The sequence below is a fragment of the Homo sapiens genome, chromosome 11 (assembly GCF_000001405.40).
Source record: "Homo sapiens chromosome 11, GRCh38.p14 Primary Assembly".
In the NCBI taxonomy this organism is placed as follows: domain Eukaryota; kingdom Metazoa; phylum Chordata; class Mammalia; order Primates; family Hominidae; genus Homo; species Homo sapiens.
In genome coordinates, this window is record NC_000011.10 from 10,641,299 (window position 1) to 10,658,991 (window position 17,693).

The following is a 17,693-nucleotide window of genomic DNA, read 5'->3' on the forward strand; positions in this document are numbered from 1 at the left end:
TGACTTTGGCATTTGGTTTTGAAAAGATGGTTGCTCTTAGTTCTGGGTCTCCTCAACCATCTGGAGTTAAATTGGGAGAGCCCAGCCACTGTGGTCACGGCGCAATGGAGCATCTCTCCTGGGGCATCTGACCACATAAGCCCAAGTGATCAAGGACCCACCACCAAGGCCACCTTCACCCGGCTCCACTCCCTCTCACCCTCTGCCTCTCAAACCAATCAATGCCCTTTGTGGGTTACAGACATGGAAGCACAGAAACAAACATGGCTAGAGGGAATTGGCAGTTACTCAGGCCCACTGTGTGGTGGGCCCTGTCCCAGACCCCCCTCGTGTTTTCTCACCGAATCCTCCCAGAAACTCAGTGGGTAAACCTGAGGACACCACCTACAAATTGGGGGTGATAATGCCTCCCAAACTCATAGAATTGTGAAGAGGAAACGAGAAGATGAAAGTGAAGGCCATGAGCATGGGGTAGAAGATTGATATCTTTCTTTTTTCTCTTCTGCTTTTCTATTTTGATCTCCACTTTATCAATGCAAAAACTGACTTGTCCAGGGCTGTGCCGCTTGTAAATAGGGGAAGTGACTGAACACAGGCTGTGTCCTTCCCACGACACCACGCTACTCTTAAAGCTGCATCCCCAGTTTTTGGTCTCACCTCCCCTGGTTCCTGGTGCCCTGCTGGCCTCTGACACTCTTATTCTTCCAAGCTGCACTCTCCTTCACAGAAGGTACCTCTTCCTCCAGGAAGCCCTCAAACCAGCACAAGGCTGAACACACAGCTGGAGAAAAGGACAGCATGGGCAGAGGATGCCCTTGGCTCACTGCCCTTCTCACTCCTCCATGGGCCCAGCCTCCCTGGGGGTCCATTTCCCTTCCCTGGAATCAGCCAAGCACTGAGGGCTGGGTCATCTCCCAGCAAGCTCACCCTCTAATAAGCCAGCAGGCCACATTTTGTTCTCCTTAAATAAATCTTATAGAAACATTTAAATGTTTATTTCACTCATAGATTCTCAGGAATGCACAATAGTTTTCCTAACCGCCTGGGCACAGGGATAAATATAGGCCAGTGTCATAGATGGGAATATTAGCTTCCTTTCCCCAGAGTCACATGGCTAGGCCCAGGCTAGGAAACTGTAAGGAACACCCCCAGCCCCAGCTCCAGCCCACTCCAGCTCAGGCAGGCATGGGGGGTTTAGATCCTGTAGATGGGCGCTGGCAGACAGCCCAGGAGAGGAGGACCCTGCTGGAAGGCAATGTGGGCTAGTGAAGAAGTCGGGTAGGCCTAGACCAGAATCCCACCTGGGTGACCTTGGGCAAGTTACTAGTTACTAAACTTCTCTTTCATGGTCTAAAACATTACATAGAGCTAATAATCACTATTCTCTAGGCTTGTTTTAAGTATTAAATGAGAGAAAGCAATAATAATGACGGTGAAAGTGGTGGTGGTGGGTGCGTGCTGTGAGACTGTATCCCCAGATCCCTGTCTTGTAGCCTGGAGGGCAAACAGGGACTGCCTTGGTAGAGAGGAGATCCAGCAGCAAAAGCAGCCAGTGCTCTTACAACAGGATAAAAGGACTCTCTGGGCCGGGCACGGTGGCTCACGCCTGTAATCCCAGCACTTTGGGAGGCCGAGGCATGGCCTCGGTGGATCACAAGGTCAGGAGATCGAGACCATCTTGGCTAACACAGTGAAACCCCGTCTCTACTAAAAATACAAAAGCAAAATTAGCCGGGCATGGTGGCGGGCACCTGTAGTCCCAGCTACTCGGGAAGCTGAGGCGGGAGAATGGCGTGAACCCAGGAGGCGGAGCTTACAGTGAGCCTGATCGTGCCACTGCACTCCTCCAGCCTGGGCGACAGAGTGAGACTCCGTCTCAAAAAAAAAAAAAAAAAAAAAAAGGACTCTCTGGGGACTTGAAAGAAAATGATTATCCCAGCGGCAAGTCCTAGGGGCACAGGAGAGAGCAGAAGTGCCTCTGCTGAGTTCTGCTGGACATGGGGCTCCTCCCTGCCAAGCATAGAGGGCCAGTTCCCTGGCTCCCCAAAGGCTCCCCGGTGTCTTCCCTATAGGCCCTCCCTTGCACCAAGGGCCTGCTCTGCCTCTGGTGGATCCTCTTTCCTGCCATTGTCCATTTATTTCTAGAAGTCAGATATAAAGAACAACTGCCTTGTTCATCACTGTTTTTACTCTCATGCCAACAGACTCTGGGAGTGTGGAAAAGCACACAATATATGTTAGCTTTATTCCAAGGAGAGTAACTCAGCTAGTCGTTCATCCGTCATATCTACTATCCTCCCTTCCTTCCTCCCTTCCTAACACTACTCCACCCTCCATTTCTTCTGCCTTTTAATGCAGTCATTTAGTCATCTAGCCAGCCAATTATCTACCCAACCTATCACAACACAATCAAGCATCCATCCACCTTTCCATCCATCCATCCCTCCCTCCCTCCCTAAGCTCCGACCGCATGCTGGAGCCTATGCTTATGGGTGGAGATACACATGTGAAAGGCACAGTCTGTGGCCCGCAAGTAGCTCACACATAGCCTGATGTGTGGAGACAGAAAAACAAAGAACAGCAATCTGTTTCATTGCTCACAATAGGAACTAAGGGAAAACAATTTTTATATGCATTTCCGACTGTCTGTAACCGTCAACATTTCTAAAACACTTTCTGCCTTGTTTTAGGCACTTCCACGCTAAATTCTCACAGCTCTTACCCTGTGACCAGAACCACTAGAGGCCAGCCTGGTGGAACTGTCCTCTTGAGCTCTTTTTTATAATGATGGAGCATCAAGCACCTGTTTCCCATGCATGGGGCCTCTGGTGTCCTAGCTAGGGCCAGGAAAGGAAGGAAAACCTGGCAGGATGACATCAGTGGGAAACTTGAGTTTGAATCTCTATTTGACCACAGCACAGCTAGGTGATCTTTGACAATTACATAAACTCTCAGAGACTCCATTTCTTCATCTAAAAAATAGAGATAATAATATCTACCTTGGAGGGATTAGACCACATACCAGGTGCCCAGTAGTTGCTACCATTATCTTGTATACCAGATACTAATATTTTATTGATAATTTATTTTAAATTATTTTATTGAAGGCCTTAATTGAGGCTGTTCTTGCAAAGGATGTGATGAGATAAGTAGAAATGAACTCAGAGAAGATGAATTCAAAATCCTCGATGGGAGCATCCAAGTACTTCCTGGTTTCTGGTGAGTATAGTGCCCTTACCTGCCTGTTTTCTCATCTATAAAGTGGGATAGCCATCATGCCTGTGTCTTGGAGTTGTCGTGAGGTTGCTATGTGTAAAGTGCCTAGAGCAGTGCCTGGCACATGGGAGGTACCGTATGAGGGTTCTCACTGGGGAAGCTGGGGGGCAGGGGGATCCCTACTCTACACAGTCCTTACCAGGTTCCAAGTGTTTTACATGCTTTATCTGGTTCCTCTTCATCTCATTCCTGACAGATAATTGATCCTTTGGGTCACACACCTTTTCTCTAGTCGGGCAGCACACGGTTCCCAAGGAGTTTCCAGGGAGGTACAGGCAGAACCTCTCTGTTGGCCAGTGAGGACAGGGCTTGAACAGCCAAAAGGAGTCAAATGGATAGAGAAGCTGGCAATCTGCCTTCAGCAGTAAAGTATATGGCTAAACTCGAGATATTCCCATAGACAGCGCAGAACAAGTCTCCTCCAGGTCCTGATGGGAGAAGGCCGTGGGAGAACACAAGAGCAAATTGGATCTGACAGAACTGGCATTTGGTAGTAAATCTACCAGGAAGTGAGCTTCCTGAGAGCAGGACCTTAGTTAGTTAATGCTCAATAAACATTTATTGAGCAAATTCAATAAACATTGACTGAGTAAATGTACTTCAATTCCTCGATTCCATATTTATTGAGTGCCTACCATGTGTATGTGAATAATCATCCCTTGCCTCTGTGCTCAAACTCTATTGCATATAATGGGGTATTTTTGGAATAGAAATAGGAAAACAATTAATTATAGCCCATTTCCTCAGCTTACAACCATGAGACAGTGGAATCCGGGCCTTGCTATTTCCCTATTATGTGATTTTCAGCAACTGGCTTAACCTTTCCAAGCCTCAGTATCCTGATCTGTGAAATGTGCATAGTCATCACTACCATGTACGACTGCGTTCTGAAGGTTAAATGCTAGAAAACACTAGGAACCTGTGTGTTAGTTTCTTTCCCTTCATCTGGATAAGATACCTAACTGCTCTAAATTCGCACTTTCATGGGGGTGACTCTCTCTGCTCTGTCTACCTCACAGTGGTTTTGCACTTGCAATGTCATTGCACTTGCAGTGACACATGTGGAAACTTTTTGCAAACCGTTTTGTGCTATAGGGACTGAGCGCCTATTGTGAGCTAAGTACTTTGCTCATCACTTTATATATATTATTCCAGTAATTAAAGTCAAGCTGCCTGGGTTTGAATTTAGCCTCAACCACTTCCTTAGCTATGTCACCCACTGCACATTACTTTTCTGTGCTTAAATTCTTTATCTGTTACTGGAAATACTAATAGTTTTCCCAGGAGTATTGCGAGAATTAAATGAGATAATGTAACATATAAAACAAGCCTAATATGGTACCTGGCACATAGTAAGTTCTCCATAAAGGTTAGCTGTTGTTAGTGGCTATTCCTATAACTCTTAGTTTCTAGATGAGGAAACTGGGGCAAGGAATAATGAGGAATCACTTATCCAAGGTAGCAGTCAAGGATGTGAAGCCCAAGTTCTTCCTGCTCTGCCATGCTGCTTATACCTTACATTTCTATGAGCCTTTCCTGTACCTTCTGGAACTCCCTGGCTGCTTGGTCATCCTCCTCTTCTTAAAGGACAGACAGGTTGGCTCTGAGCCCAGCCCACTGACTGAGGGTGTAAGCCAGGATAGGCCTCCTACAACCCTTGTCCACTGTTTTTACTCTCATGCCAACAGACTTTGGGAGTGTGGAAAAACACAGTATGTGTTAGCTTTATTCCAAGGAGAGTAACTCAGCTAGTCATTCATCCATCATATCTACTATCCTCCCTTCCTTCCTCCCTTCCTAACATTAGCCCTCCCTCCATTTCTTCTGCCCTTTAGTGCAGTCATTTAATCATCTAGCCAGCCAATTATCTACCCAACCCCAGATTTGTTATGGTGGCACTTACATCAGTCCCTATTTCTGAGCCAAAACAGGAGGAAGGCCAGCACCTCCATAGCCAGAGGTTCTAGGTGCTCCACAAGCAGATCCCTTCCTATAAGGGCCACACAAACAAGACTGCTTCTCCAGAGCACACTCCAACCACATCTCAGTTACTTAAAAGTTACGGGAGGGGAGGGGTGCAGATGCCACTCATCAGTGGAGTGCTGCAGTGACCTTAAGTCACAAGAGCTACTGCGTAACAGGGCTGAGCATCCATGTCTGCCTAGAGCATCAACGAATGAAACACAAAGTGGATGCTCGGAGAGACCCAGAGTGCCTCATGCATGTGGCCTAAACCAGGCAATAGCATGGTGGCCTGTGTTTCTAGGAGTTAATGTGCCCTTCCCCTTCCTCAATGTGTCCATGTCCCTTCCTCATTCTCCTTCAGCTAAGCAATCAGACAGCCCACTCAAGTTAAAGTTGGGCTGTTTGATTACCTGACTGAAGGAGAATGAGGAAGGGGCATAGACAGGCATGTGACATGCAGCTTTGGTTGCTGGCCCCACGAGCTTGTGCTCCTGAGGGGCTGGCAGGCAGAAGGGGTTTGGTGGTGCTTTGGCATTCCCCTGACAGCGAGCTCTGAAGTTGGCCCTTCTGAGGTGAGTGGCTTTGGGAACACAGGACAACGTACTGTTGGCCCAGGTCCCAGAGCTCTCACTGAGGACCCAGGGGCAGTAACAGTGCTCAGTGCGGGTATGGACTAAGCATGGGCTTTGGGGTCAGGCTGCCTGGGCCCAGATCCTGGGCCTGCCACTTATGAGCTGTATGACCTTGGAGGAAGGTAGTTAATTTCTTTGTGCCTCAGTTTCCTCAGCTATGAAATGGGAATGATAATACCTACCGTAAGGCTAATTATATGTTAAATGAGTTAATATGGTAGACGAGTATCTGGCACAGGGTTAGCTATTATTATTAAGTGGCTTTGTGTGCAGCGGAGGTAGGGGAACAGGGGAGGTGGTAGCTGGGTGCTGGAATGGGTGATATGAAGAGGTGAAGTCTGCTTATGAGTTCACACTGACCTGCCCCTGGGGGCTTCTAAAACCCTTTGGAGGAGGATGGGAGTTGTTCAGGTGGAAGCTAGAGCCGGTGAAAATTGGGCTCTTACAGCTAACATGAGCCTCTTTGTACCCTCAGGTTTACAAGGCACTTCAGAGGATGCTGCACTGTCTGGGTGAGTCAGCTTCCTACTGTGGCTGCTGGTCACAGTCCAGGAACTCATCTAGGCCTAGGTAAGATTGCATCTGGAGCCTGGGGCCAGGTCTGGGGCCCTACAGTAAGGCGGAGATGGGCTGGTATGTGTCCTGAGCGGAGGTTAGGAAGGCTCTGAACACTGTCATGGGAGCAAAGACTGAAGAAACTAGAGAAAAAGAGACTCTGAGAAGACTCAGAACTGCCTTTCTGCATCTGTAGGATTTCACCCCACTATAGGTTGTATGGAGGGCAGAACCGAGGGAGAGTCTTGGGGGAGGCAGATTCCAGCCTGACCAGGACAGAGCTGGCCAACCAGTGCACAGGCTTCCTTGGGAGGCGGTGAGCTTTTCATTATAGAAATATTCCTACAGATTCCTACCCTGGGCCCGGTGGCTCACGCCTGTAATCCCAGCACTTTGGGAGGCCGAGGTGGGCAGATCACTTGAGGCCAGGAGTTTGAGACCAGCCTGGCCAACACGGCGAAACCCCATATCTACTAAAAATACAAAAATTAGCCAGGCGTGGTGGTGCAGGCCTGTAGTCCCGGCTATTCGGGAGGCTGAGGCACAAGAATCATTTGAACCTGGGAGACAGAGGTTGCAGTGAGCTGAGATCACACCAATGCACTCCAGCCTGGGTGACAAAGCAAGACTCTGTCTCAAAAATACAAAGATATATTCCTACAGATTCCTAAGACCTACCTCAAGAGATTCCAATTCAGTAGGTCTTGGATGGCTGAGGAATCTGGTGTTCAAAAAATTCCCAGGGTGACTGAGTGGGGCTCACGTTATAGAGAGCTTTGCCTGCCTGGGCGGAGCTTAGATGTGACCTGGGATTCTTCTAGCACTGGCAGTCTGTCATTCTGTGGTCCCCTCAGGTCCCAGGCTTGTGTTCTGACAGCTTCTATTCCTGCTAGAACCCCTTGGCTACAAACTCTTCCCTTTGAGTCTCTCCCTGTTCAAGGGCCAATGCAGAAAACCCCACTCAGGACATAGCCTTACAAAGTGCATTGTTGGGGGGCTTTTTGTGGTATTTGATTGCAGCTTCTGATTAAGGACCTGAAGAGTACGTCTGTCTGTGCATGCCTGTGTATCTGCGTGTGTGTCTGTGTGTGTGTATGCGTGTGTACGTGCAGAAAGAGAAACAGGATCTAGTCCTACAGATTTTGTGTTTGTGTGTGAGAAGGCCTCGGCTAGTGCTCATGCCAGTGATGGGAAATAGGGGCTGGGACCTGAGGAATCACAACTAGGGCTGGACCCCGGGGAGCTGTAAACTTAGAAGGATGCTCTGTTCTTTGCCTGCTTCACAGACTGGGAATTCAGGCAGGATTGGGACTTCCAGCCGAGTCATCCTGGCCAACCCCGCTTCCTTGGCTGCCTGGCCTCGGATGCTCCCAGGGACTCAGGTTCCAGCCCCCTGAAGGCTCCAGGCCAGCTCCTGAGGCCTGACCCTCCCGAGGCCGTGACTACCTGAGAAACCCAATGTGGGTGGTCTGGTGGGTGCAATAGTGGGAGAAGCACTTTACTCACCATGCCTGGTTGCCTTCTGAAAAGCTTTGAAATGTCCAGGGCGTGGCAGTAAGGGAAGAGGGTAAAAGAAAGTTGAGTTTGATGTGGCCTTTGGTTGGGGGGGTCTGAACTGCCCCAGCTTCATGGTCCCTCAGGCTATAGAAGGCACTTGAGGGCTGGGCTGAACAGGCAGAGTCTAGGAGGCAGCAACTAACCCTTGTACTGGGTAACACATAAGAAACCAGCAGCACAGCAAAGTTAACAGACTTGGTCTCAAAGTTTCTTGGCCAAGACAAGGTCTCTTGACCAGAATGTAGAGGAGCTGGGATTGAAGCCCAGCTTGGTATGACTGCACAGTTTACATTCTTAAATCCTGTGCTAGGTATCCTCCCTGATAGGACCTGGGCTTCTCGGCTCCCGGCTCCCCTGAATTCCTGCTGGCCTTCCTAACCATCACAGCTTCAAAATGCATATAGGTACAGTGCCATTAGGTTGGCATGATGAATTTCTAGAGGTTGCCACAATGGGGGGAGGGTTCCATGAGCTTGCCTGCCACAAAGTTGAGAGTAAGCGATCCCTGATTGGCTAGTGGGAGCTCCAAATTCCAGTTCCCCACAAGTTCAGTCTCCCTGTGACCCTGAGCCAGAACCAGACTCTTATTAAATAACGGATGGTCTCTGAAGGCCCTTCAAGTGCCATGATTCTCTCTGTGCCCATGGGAAATCAAGACTATAGAGAGAATGTTTGCAGGTACTGATAGCTTCTGCATTATTGGGGCCCAGCAGAAGGACCCATGAGGGAAGAATGCATGAGTGAACATTATTTTTACAAATGGGTAGATTCTTAGTGAATATTCTCATGTTATGATTACATTTGTTTTCTTACACATTACAACTCTGGGAACTTAAGTAACAAACACTTTAAAAAGAATGGCCCTTTGGATCTCCATATCCCAAACCCATGGGATCAAGATGTTGTAGAACTTGGCAGTCTTGTGGGTGGGGAGATGCCCTTCCCTTGAATGTCTAAGTGACAGGTGTCTATGTTGTCTTGTTTTATGTTTCCTGAGGATATACTCTGAAAGAACTTTTAATTATAAAGCATTGTAAGCAGGAAGAATTTAATATAAAAGCCTGTCTTCACTGACAGCAGGGGTGCATCTTTGCTGATCTTTTATTATCTTATATTTTAGGAATGCTTTTAGTCTTGGGGCAGCTGTTTGGGGGAGTTGCCCAGGATTTAAGAGCTACATTTTGCCTGAGAATCTGATTCAAGGGTACTACCATTGTTAGTAAAGTAGAAGGGGCCAGGGATGGCCATTTTCAGAGGAGTCCAGGGCGAGGAAATAGGGATGCTAAGGAGACAGAGGCCAAGAAAGTCATGGCCTGAGGGTCTGGAAGCAGTCGCATTTGAATGCAGTTGTGAGTGTTTTGTCTCTCCTTTCCTTAATCCCCAAGCTTTTGGAACTTGGCACCCTCAGCAGCAGGACCCACTATTTCCCAGAATGGGGGCCTGGACTTGATAAAACCCTGGGCTGGGCTGCCTGAGGCTGAAGGGCTAGGGGGTTGGCCCACTGTCACTTAGACATTCAAGGGAAGGACAACCCCCTCACCCCTAAGGCTGCCAAGTTCTGCAACATCTTAATCCGATGAGCTTGGGATATGCAGATACAAAGGGCCATTCTTTTCTAAGTGTTTACTATCTAAGTTCCCAGAGTCGTAATGTGTCAGAAAACAAATGCCATCATAACATGAAAATACTCACTAAGAATCTGCCCTTTTGTAAAAATAATGCTCCACTTATAGATTCTTCCCTCACTTAAAAAGCGTCTATCCCACCTGGCTCAGGTCAGTTTGGATGACTGTCCGATATAACAGGACAATACCATTTCAATGCAAATCAACTGCAAAGTTCATGAAGTCAAAGAAAACAGTGATGGAGAATTTTACATGCAAGGTCTTTGACCAAGGAGATCAGATAGAGCTTATCAATTAAGTGAAGAAAATACGACGAGGATGATGCTCAAATAGGTTCTTCAAAAGGGAATAATTTGAATATCGAGGGACTGAAAGAGATCCTTGGGGAAATGGATGAAGCCCTTAAGTATTAAACAGACGTAGACTCTTAATTAGGTGCTGTAAAGTAAAATGTGAAGAGCGAGTTACTATGTGAACAGATCACTTTGCTGGTATAATAAATAAATATACCCACACCAAAATCAACATTTTATTCTTTCTTCAATCTGAAAATTAGCACATAACCTATATTTTGTAATCTGTATAGCTAAAAATAGCTTGTTTTGAATGCCTCATTTGTACAATAAAAATCTTGATGTCTCTTTAAATTAATCTGCTTTCATCATTTCCTTTCTATAATAAAATTTCACTGAAAACCTTTTTTGCTATTTACTATACAATTTTGATCTCCATTTTAAGTGGATTCACTTTAAGTGGCCTTTTCTCGTGCCCACTCACCTGACATAAGAGGTTCTCAGTGCTAATGGTTCTCATATAAGTCCTTCTCCGGTTTCAGAGGGAGCCTGCATGGTTTGTGGTTTGACTTCTGAGGCCTCAGTCAGACACAGCCTAGATGGTTGGTTCTATACCCAGAATATTTGGGGCCTCGGTCAATTCAAACCAACTCAGAGTAATTGATTCCTCAGTATGGAAGCCACACACCTTCTCCAGGTACCCACTGCAACCTACATGAGCTGTCAGCAAACCCTCTGGCCAGCCTAAAAGCTGTGGCCTCAGCCCAGGGTGCTTGGCTTGGCCCCCAGCCAGGCTAGCTGAGGGCAGGGAGGGGGCACTTACTTGGCCGGCAGGGCTCTGGGCTGCCTGTGGCTCTCCGGGGGGCTCCTCGTCCTCGGGAATGTGGGGCATGGCAGCCTCCTGCTGGGAGTGGCCACGTGTGCCCGGAACCTCCGCTGCGTCAGCCCCAAAGATGCTCCAAGAGGCCTGGGCTCCACAGGCTGGGGAGATGCCAAAAGGACAAGTCAAATCCATTCCCATCCCTGTCCCAAGCTGGGTTCCATTTCCCGGAGCCACAAGCCACAGTGAGAGCCGGCTTGAGTTTGCATCAACACCGGAGGTCAAACCAGGCTAGGAGAGGGCATTTGGAATTTCATTTCCTCCGGCTCTCTGGCTTTGTTTACAAAGTCAGAGGTGACCTTAGAGATTTTGCATCTAATTTGGTCTTTACAGTAAACACAGCTATCCCAGAAGGGAGAAATGTGCTTCGAACTCCTCAAAGCTGTAGCTAATGGAAGATACTCCATTGAGATCACATTGGCAGTTGTTTACCACTTACTGAGCACCTACTGGGTGCCAGGCCCTGTCCTAGGAGCATCACCATCATCTGATTGAATCCTCAAGATGACCTCTGATGTAGGCATTAATATTCCCATTTTACAGATGAGAGAACCGCCCCAGAGAGTGAAAGTCACTTGCCCCAAATCATACAGAGAACCAATAATTTGAACCCAGATCTTCCTGATTTTGAGGCTGGGGCTTTTTCTGCTATACTACACAGTGTTCCTCAGCCATGTGGATGGGGAGTAAGAGGTGCTGTTTCCTGACTTCCTCCCTGACACCTCCCCTCATGCTCTTCTGACCCTCAGCACAGGCTCTCTCATTTGAGTTCAGCCCTTATGGGGACTACACCAGCCCTACTAAAACCTGGGGGCTCAGGCAGGGTGAATTCCATGTGCCCTGTGCCCACCCCTGGCAACCTTAGATTGACTCCCAGAAGCCAGGCTATCCCTTCCCCATGGTGCAGCAGCCTGGGGGCACTGGGGTCCCAGTGCTGATTGGGACTGCAATCAGCATAATCTCATCCACCTCCCACAGTGACTGGCTCAGGGATAGACAATGGACCCAGCCTACATCGATGAGCTTAAAGTGGTGTTCTAGGACCAGATGCTTTCTCCTGCTCTGAGTGGTGGAGTGTGAAGATATGAGACCTGGTGCTACGGACACTATTTTGCTTCCATGAGGAAAGCCAGACAGAATCTAAATGATACACACAGAGGAGGGCAGAGCGAAGGGACCTGCAGAGAAACAGAACTGGAGCCCTGATTAAAGTGTGCCTGAAGCCTGAACACTTTCTGGACTAGCTGGTTACATGAACAATTAAGCCTCTTGGTGTTGAAATCACTTTGTGTTGGGTTTTTGTTCCTTGTAACTGAAAACATGCTCCACTACTCTTTCGTGCTTCTTGTCTGTCAAGATGCCTAGGAGTATGATCCTGCCAACAGACCTGAGCCAATGGGTCTAGCTCCTCTGCTTCCTCTTAGAAGAGGAGACTAGCAATGCCAGGTTTCCATAGGGAAAGGCAGGATAGCAATGTAGAAAGAACACAGGCTTTGGAACCAGATATCTCGGTGTGAGTCCTCACTTTGCCACTCACTGGCTATGTGGCCTTGGAAAGTAGGCTTCATCTCTGAGTCCCAGTTTTCTTGTCAAAACAGATAAGAATGCCTCCCAAGCAGGATGCTCCAAGGATGAAACACACTCAGTTCACAGTAGTTCCCACAGAGGCCACCTGCACGGGGGTCTGCAGCCCAGGAAGCTTGGCCGAAGCTCCAAGGGCTCTGCCTGGCCTCTCCCCATCCTTAAACTCCCTCCTTCTTTTATTAGTGGGGTGGGCAATACCTTCAGGAATCTATAGAACTAACAACTGGCCTGGTTCTGCAACTTTTAGAGATTCCCTGAAGGAGCTGCTCCACTGCACAGTAGATTAAGACCACCATGCAGATAACATAGTGAGGTGACCTTTGGCTGATGGGACATGGTGGGTGGGGGTGGAGATGAAGGACACTGTCATTTACTGAGCACCAACTGTGTTCCAGGTCCTCTGGAAGGTACTGCTGACTGCTGGAGGCTGTAGGAGGAAGAACCGGAAAGCCCTGCCACCTCCCATAATACTTGGTGTTCTTCCTGTCCTTCAGAAAGGGCTCGGAAAGCCCCTAGAGTCAGGGCACTGGAGAAAAGGCCTGAGCTGCCATCAGCCCAGCTCTGACAGACCCCCCAGCCAACACACATACCTCTAGACTCCTGGACTGAGCTCCTTGAGCTAGGCAAGGTGTCAGATTCATCCTAGGTACCCAAAAGATTCAGCAAAGAATGATTGTTGATTTATGTTTAAAGAACTAGGGACTTTTAGCCCCAGGATTGGTCAAGGTGACCACCATCTTGATTGCTGTCTTTCTCTGCAATGAACAAGTTAGCCCACACAGCTCTGGAACAGTTAGGGTGACCCCTACTGGTCACCTCAAGAAATCTCAAGTAGACCATCCATAGAGTCATTCATTCTTTCACTGCCAAAATTTTACACCTACTCTACCAGGCCTGTGCAAGGGGCTGGTGACATAAAGATAATCTTGGCCTTCAAGGAACATAGAGCCCAGTGGTAGGAGACGCTGGAGAACAGTATAATGGGGTAAATATTTTGAAAGTGAGAAGTTGCAGGACCCCAGAAAAGGGTTACCTGTGGGAACTGGGATGGTGGGACATGATTTTAGCAAATATTTCACATTACAAATGTTTGAGCTGAGCCGTGAACACAAATGCTGAGTGGAATTTCTTGGAACAGATTAGCTGGGTGTCTAGTGGGGAAGATAAGACAGGATGGGGAGAAGCCACATTGGACAGACTTCACCTGGCTCTTGGGAATGAGAACTACGGGGCCAGGGCATGCTGTCTGTGTCTTCCATGCCAAATTCTTACTGTATGAATAAACTGAGCATCAGGTTCACCCAAAGGTGAGCTCTGTGATTAATTTCTATCATCTTTACTTGGATTTCAGCAGCAGTGGCATCAGTGGTGCTGGGTAAAGTATTTGGTAACAGGGGTTGAGGGTAGCAAAAGACTAGCCACAAACCCTGATTCTACTAAAGGAAGTTGGCTACATCTCATAGGAAACCTTTTAAAATTATGTGTGACGTATGTACAGGTCCAGGCTGTCTTAACAGGGGCATGGTTTCTAAAACATGGGAGGTGACTATTCCACTTTTCTTTTGTCTTAATCTACACAAAGTATATTGTGCTCTGCCTGTTAAGAAGGATTTAGACAAATTGGGACATGTTTTGAACCTGGGAAGCAGGAAGCAAGGAGAACAAAAATTTGTGTTTAAAGAACTAGAGAACTTTAGCCCGGAGAAGAGGAAGTGCAGGGAGAAATAAAAATCTCTTCTCAGATGTTTGGAAAGCATTCATGTGGTTTTACTGTTCCCAAAGAATAGATGTCATAACTAATGACTGAAAGGTCAGATGAAGGCAAGGGACGACCTTCTAGTGGTTGGAACCACCTGAAGATGAAACAGGCTGTTCTTTAAGGTAGTGAGTCCCCATTCCTTGGAGCGTTCTCGTAAAGCCTGGGACAAGGGTCACAGGATTCCTAACCACTTCAGGGGCCTTTTCTAACCCTGGGAGTCCCTGAAATCCTGGACTCTTTTTAGCTACAACAAACTGAAAGACCTGACGATTCCATCCCAGGACTCTGGGATTATGGTCTGAAGTCTCATGAGAAATACCTCATTTTTTAACCCTCTACTTTCTTCCTCCACCTCCCTCTCTTCCAAAAAGAGCTTAAGTCAGTCCCTGTGACAGAAAGCAGAATAGAACAAATGAGTTAAGTCAGATGTCAGCTGCCACAACATAAAAGTAGAGTGGATGCTTGCTGAGGCCCCACTCTTGACAAGATGGAACCCCAGGCTCCTCAGGGGAGCCCCAGCAGCCCTGCCTGCAGGGGCCATTCCCACGCTGCTCCTGCCCTGTTTGCTGTCTCTCCCATCCATTATTATAAACTCGCTGCTTAAAATAGCAAGGTAAAAGGAGAGTCCCTGCCCCAGGGTGACATCTGGGTTCTGCTGGAGCTTGTGGGCACACGGACCTCACATCCATCACTGCAAAGTTTAGAATATAATCTCCAGGAAGTGCTGATCTAGAGCACCAACCCATAAAAGGAAAAAATATTTAGTAATGTTTGGTCTCCAAGCTGTTCCTTCTTTAACCCATTTTCAGGGCCCTTCTTGCTGCCTCTCCAGTCTGGTTCGGAAAGGGTTAGGTAGGCCAGTGCCAAGAGCTAATCAGCTTTTATGACTCTACTCATTCTGCCTCCAGCTAGTGCCTAACTAGAACCTGGCCCATTTTACAGGCCGGGAAACTGAGGTGCAGAAACGGAAACAACTTGACTGGTTCAGCTACCCTTGTATCTGGTGCAAATCTTCCAAGAGACTCTGCTGGGATAACTATCCAGTAATTTGTGCAACTGAAGAGGCTAGAAGTTCCTAAACCATATTTAAATATTTTATCTGCCCCTGCTCATGAAAGAAAACAAACTAATATGCTTTTGTTCATGCTTTCATTCTTCAGCTACTTCTAAGTCGCCTACTGAGCATCGGACACTATGCTAAATGTATTTCAAGTGCTATTTTCTTTAACCCCCATGAGATAGGTTTTATTATTTCCATTTAATATATTAAGGATCTAGGGCTCAGAGAGGTTCCGCAACCTGCTCAAGATCACACAGCTAGTAAGTAGCTGGTGAAGGGCTATAATCCAGGCTAGTCTGACTCCTAGGCCCGCCATCTTTCCTCTCTTCCACTCTGGCTTCTTCACCAGGAGTTCTGCTTGAGTGTGGCAGAAAAGACTAGCACGGGGGCCCTGCCTCCCAGGGGAGGGCTGGAGTGAGTACTCCCAGTGAGGCTAAGGATGGTGGGAGGCAGAGGGGAGGAAACAGGACCTACACTTCGGTTGTCGGGCCGGGGTCTTATGAGGGCTAAAGAGTGGCCTACAGTTGAGCCTGCATGTCCTCTGGTAGGTGGTAGCAGCAGGTGGAGGACGCGGAGGCCGGCCCTGCCTTGTAGGCTTCAAAGGCCTTACTGTATCCCAGAAAGTATAGAGCCATCATCGGGACGCACGGTTCAGGAACAGAATTTACAGAGACTATCTCTTTCAGTGCTGTCAGCAGCCCTGTGAGATGGGGAGAGTAAGTACTATTATTATTAACATTAAAGTTAGACCCATGTTACAGATGAGGAAACAGAGGCCCAGAGACTTGCCCAATGTCATCGCTCATGAATGGCAGTGCTGGGAATTCACCGAATCTGGGTCTGATGCTCCCCTTCCTTGCAGGGCCAAGCCTGTTCTCGGCAGGCAGCAGCAGCCTCTCATCATGGCGCCAAAGATGCCTCTCCCAGAGCCTTGCAACCTGCCTAGGAGAGACCAAACTCCTCTCTGAAACCACAGTATCCCAGGAGCACAGCCCGTAAGCTAAGCGGCTCTCAGATTCTCTCTGTGAATCTTTGAGCATTGAGGGAAGAGCCAAGAAGCCCTTTCGGGAAACCATGGGTTAACCTAGCCTCCACTGACCTTTCTGGAGTGACTCAGTATTCTCAGAAGGGAGTTTTTTTGTTCTTCCAGCTTTGAATTTTTGCTTTCATTTTAGCAGCACAAAGAATGTGAAAGAGATTAGGTTGCTATTAATACCACGGGTCTATCTCTAGATGGACAACTGATGGGGGGAATTGTTGGGGGTGACTGCACGTGGAGCTCTCTTAGCCCTTCTGCAAATCCAGAGGGTGATGGAGGGACACTGAGAACTCACCAGTCTTACCCCTGCACCCATTTTTACCAATGGGGAACCGAGGCCCAGAGGGGCAGGCATGTGACCAAGGCCACATCTATGAGTGAGGGGCAGAGTCAGAAAAGTCCCCAGAGCACCCATGCCCCGAGCCCGGCTGCATGTGGCAGCTTTCTGACTTTTCATTTTGACGGTTTTGCTCATAGTAAAGGGTAAGCCATTGTGTCTGTGCTGTGAAAGCAGGCGTCCTTCGGCAGTGACTCGTCATTGTTCTTGCTCTCATGCTCTCATGGTCACTCTCGCAGGAGAGAGGATGCTCCCCACAGGAGATCTGCTGAAAGTGCTGGGAGGTGCCTCTGGGGGTCCCCTGGGCCTGGCCAACTGCAGAGCTGGGTTCCGCGACTCCACAAGTGAGCCGGATGGGAAGCCTGCCTTGGGAAAGCCCCATCCTGCTTCCTAACCTTGGCCTGCTCACGGGGCTTTGTTGCTTGGCAGATTCCGTTCTAATCCTTCCTCTGCCTCTCCCTTGCTGGATAAATCTCCCCTGGCCTCAGTTCCCTCATTTGAAAATGGAGGTAATAGCACCCACCTTTTAGCGTTGTTGTAACGATTAAATCAGGAAATACATGCAAGGTGCTGGTACATAGAGTCCACTCAGTGCCCTCGCCATTCTCCAAACAGGGCAGCTGAGTTCTCTAAGCATGCACAGCATCAACAAAACCAAGCCAAGGCTCAGAGAGACTCTGGTGTTCATCCTAGTGGCTCAGAGCTCCCAGATTTGTCTCCTGCAAGTAAAAGAGACTCAGTCCTGGTCTTTGCTGTGGACAGTCCCAGGTCTGTGCTGGGCTTGCCCCATGTCTGTGCTGTGCTCAGTCCCAGGTCCGTGCTGTGGTCAGTCCCAGGTCTGTGCTGTGGTCAGTCCCAGGTCAGTGCTGTGGTCAGTCCCAGGTCCGTGCTGTGGTCAGTCCCAGGTCCGTGCTGTGCTTGCCCCGTGTCTGTGCTGTGCTCAGTCCTAGGTCTGTGCTGTGGTTACCCCATGTCTGTGCTGTGCTCACCCCATGTCTGTGCCGTGCTCAGTCCTAGGTCTGTGCTGTGGTTACCCCATGTCTGTGCTGTGCTCACCCCATGTCTGTGCTGTGCTCAGTCCCAGGTCTGTGCTATGGCTGCCCAAGGTCTGTGCTGTGGCTGCCCAACGTC

General features: G+C 48.4%; 1 protein-coding gene across 6 annotated transcripts in view, besides 4 other annotated features; it reads right to left on the minus strand.

Annotated features, from left to right (window-relative positions):
• IRAG1 (inositol 1,4,5-triphosphate receptor associated 1) overlaps nucleotides 1-17,693 on the minus strand; it is a 120,661-nt gene that overhangs the window by 68,204 nt on the left and 34,764 nt on the right. For 3 of the 6 annotated variants that reach the window (NM_001206880.2, NM_130385.4, NM_001100167.3), the window contains one exon: nucleotides 10,727-10,884. The exons of 2 other annotated variants lie outside the window; for them this stretch is intronic. In NM_001206880.2, coding sequence (NP_001193809.1) covers nucleotides 10,727-10,884 — 158 coding nt within the window. Of the gene's footprint in view, nucleotides 1-10,726; nucleotides 10,981-17,693 lie in introns of those variants that run through there. One more of the 6 variants, NM_001098579.3, reaches the window with a different exon arrangement.
• Nucleotides 636-685: an enhancer, noted in NCBI's record as "active region_4440". NCBI's record gives its function as "activates an Ori minimal core promoter by ATAC-STARR-seq in GM12878 lymphoblastoid cells {active_cell/tissue: GM12878}" and the evidence as "EXISTENCE:reporter gene assay evidence [ECO:0000049][PMID:35858748]".
• Nucleotides 706-885: an enhancer, noted in NCBI's record as "active region_4441". NCBI's record gives its function as "activates an Ori minimal core promoter by ATAC-STARR-seq in GM12878 lymphoblastoid cells {active_cell/tissue: GM12878}" and the evidence as "EXISTENCE:reporter gene assay evidence [ECO:0000049][PMID:35858748]".
• Nucleotides 15,549-16,748: an enhancer, noted in NCBI's record as "CDK7 strongly-dependent group 2 enhancer chr11:10678394-10679593 (GRCh37/hg19 assembly coordinates)". NCBI's record gives its function as "activates an origin of replication core promoter dependent on BRD2, BRD4, P300/CBP, MED14 and CDK7 cofactors, with strong dependence on CDK7, by STARR-seq in HCT116 cells {active_cell/tissue: HCT116}" and the evidence as "EXISTENCE:reporter gene assay evidence [ECO:0000049][PMID:35650434]".
• Nucleotides 16,353-16,502: an enhancer, noted in NCBI's record as "active region_4442". NCBI's record gives its function as "activates an Ori minimal core promoter by ATAC-STARR-seq in GM12878 lymphoblastoid cells {active_cell/tissue: GM12878}" and the evidence as "EXISTENCE:reporter gene assay evidence [ECO:0000049][PMID:35858748]".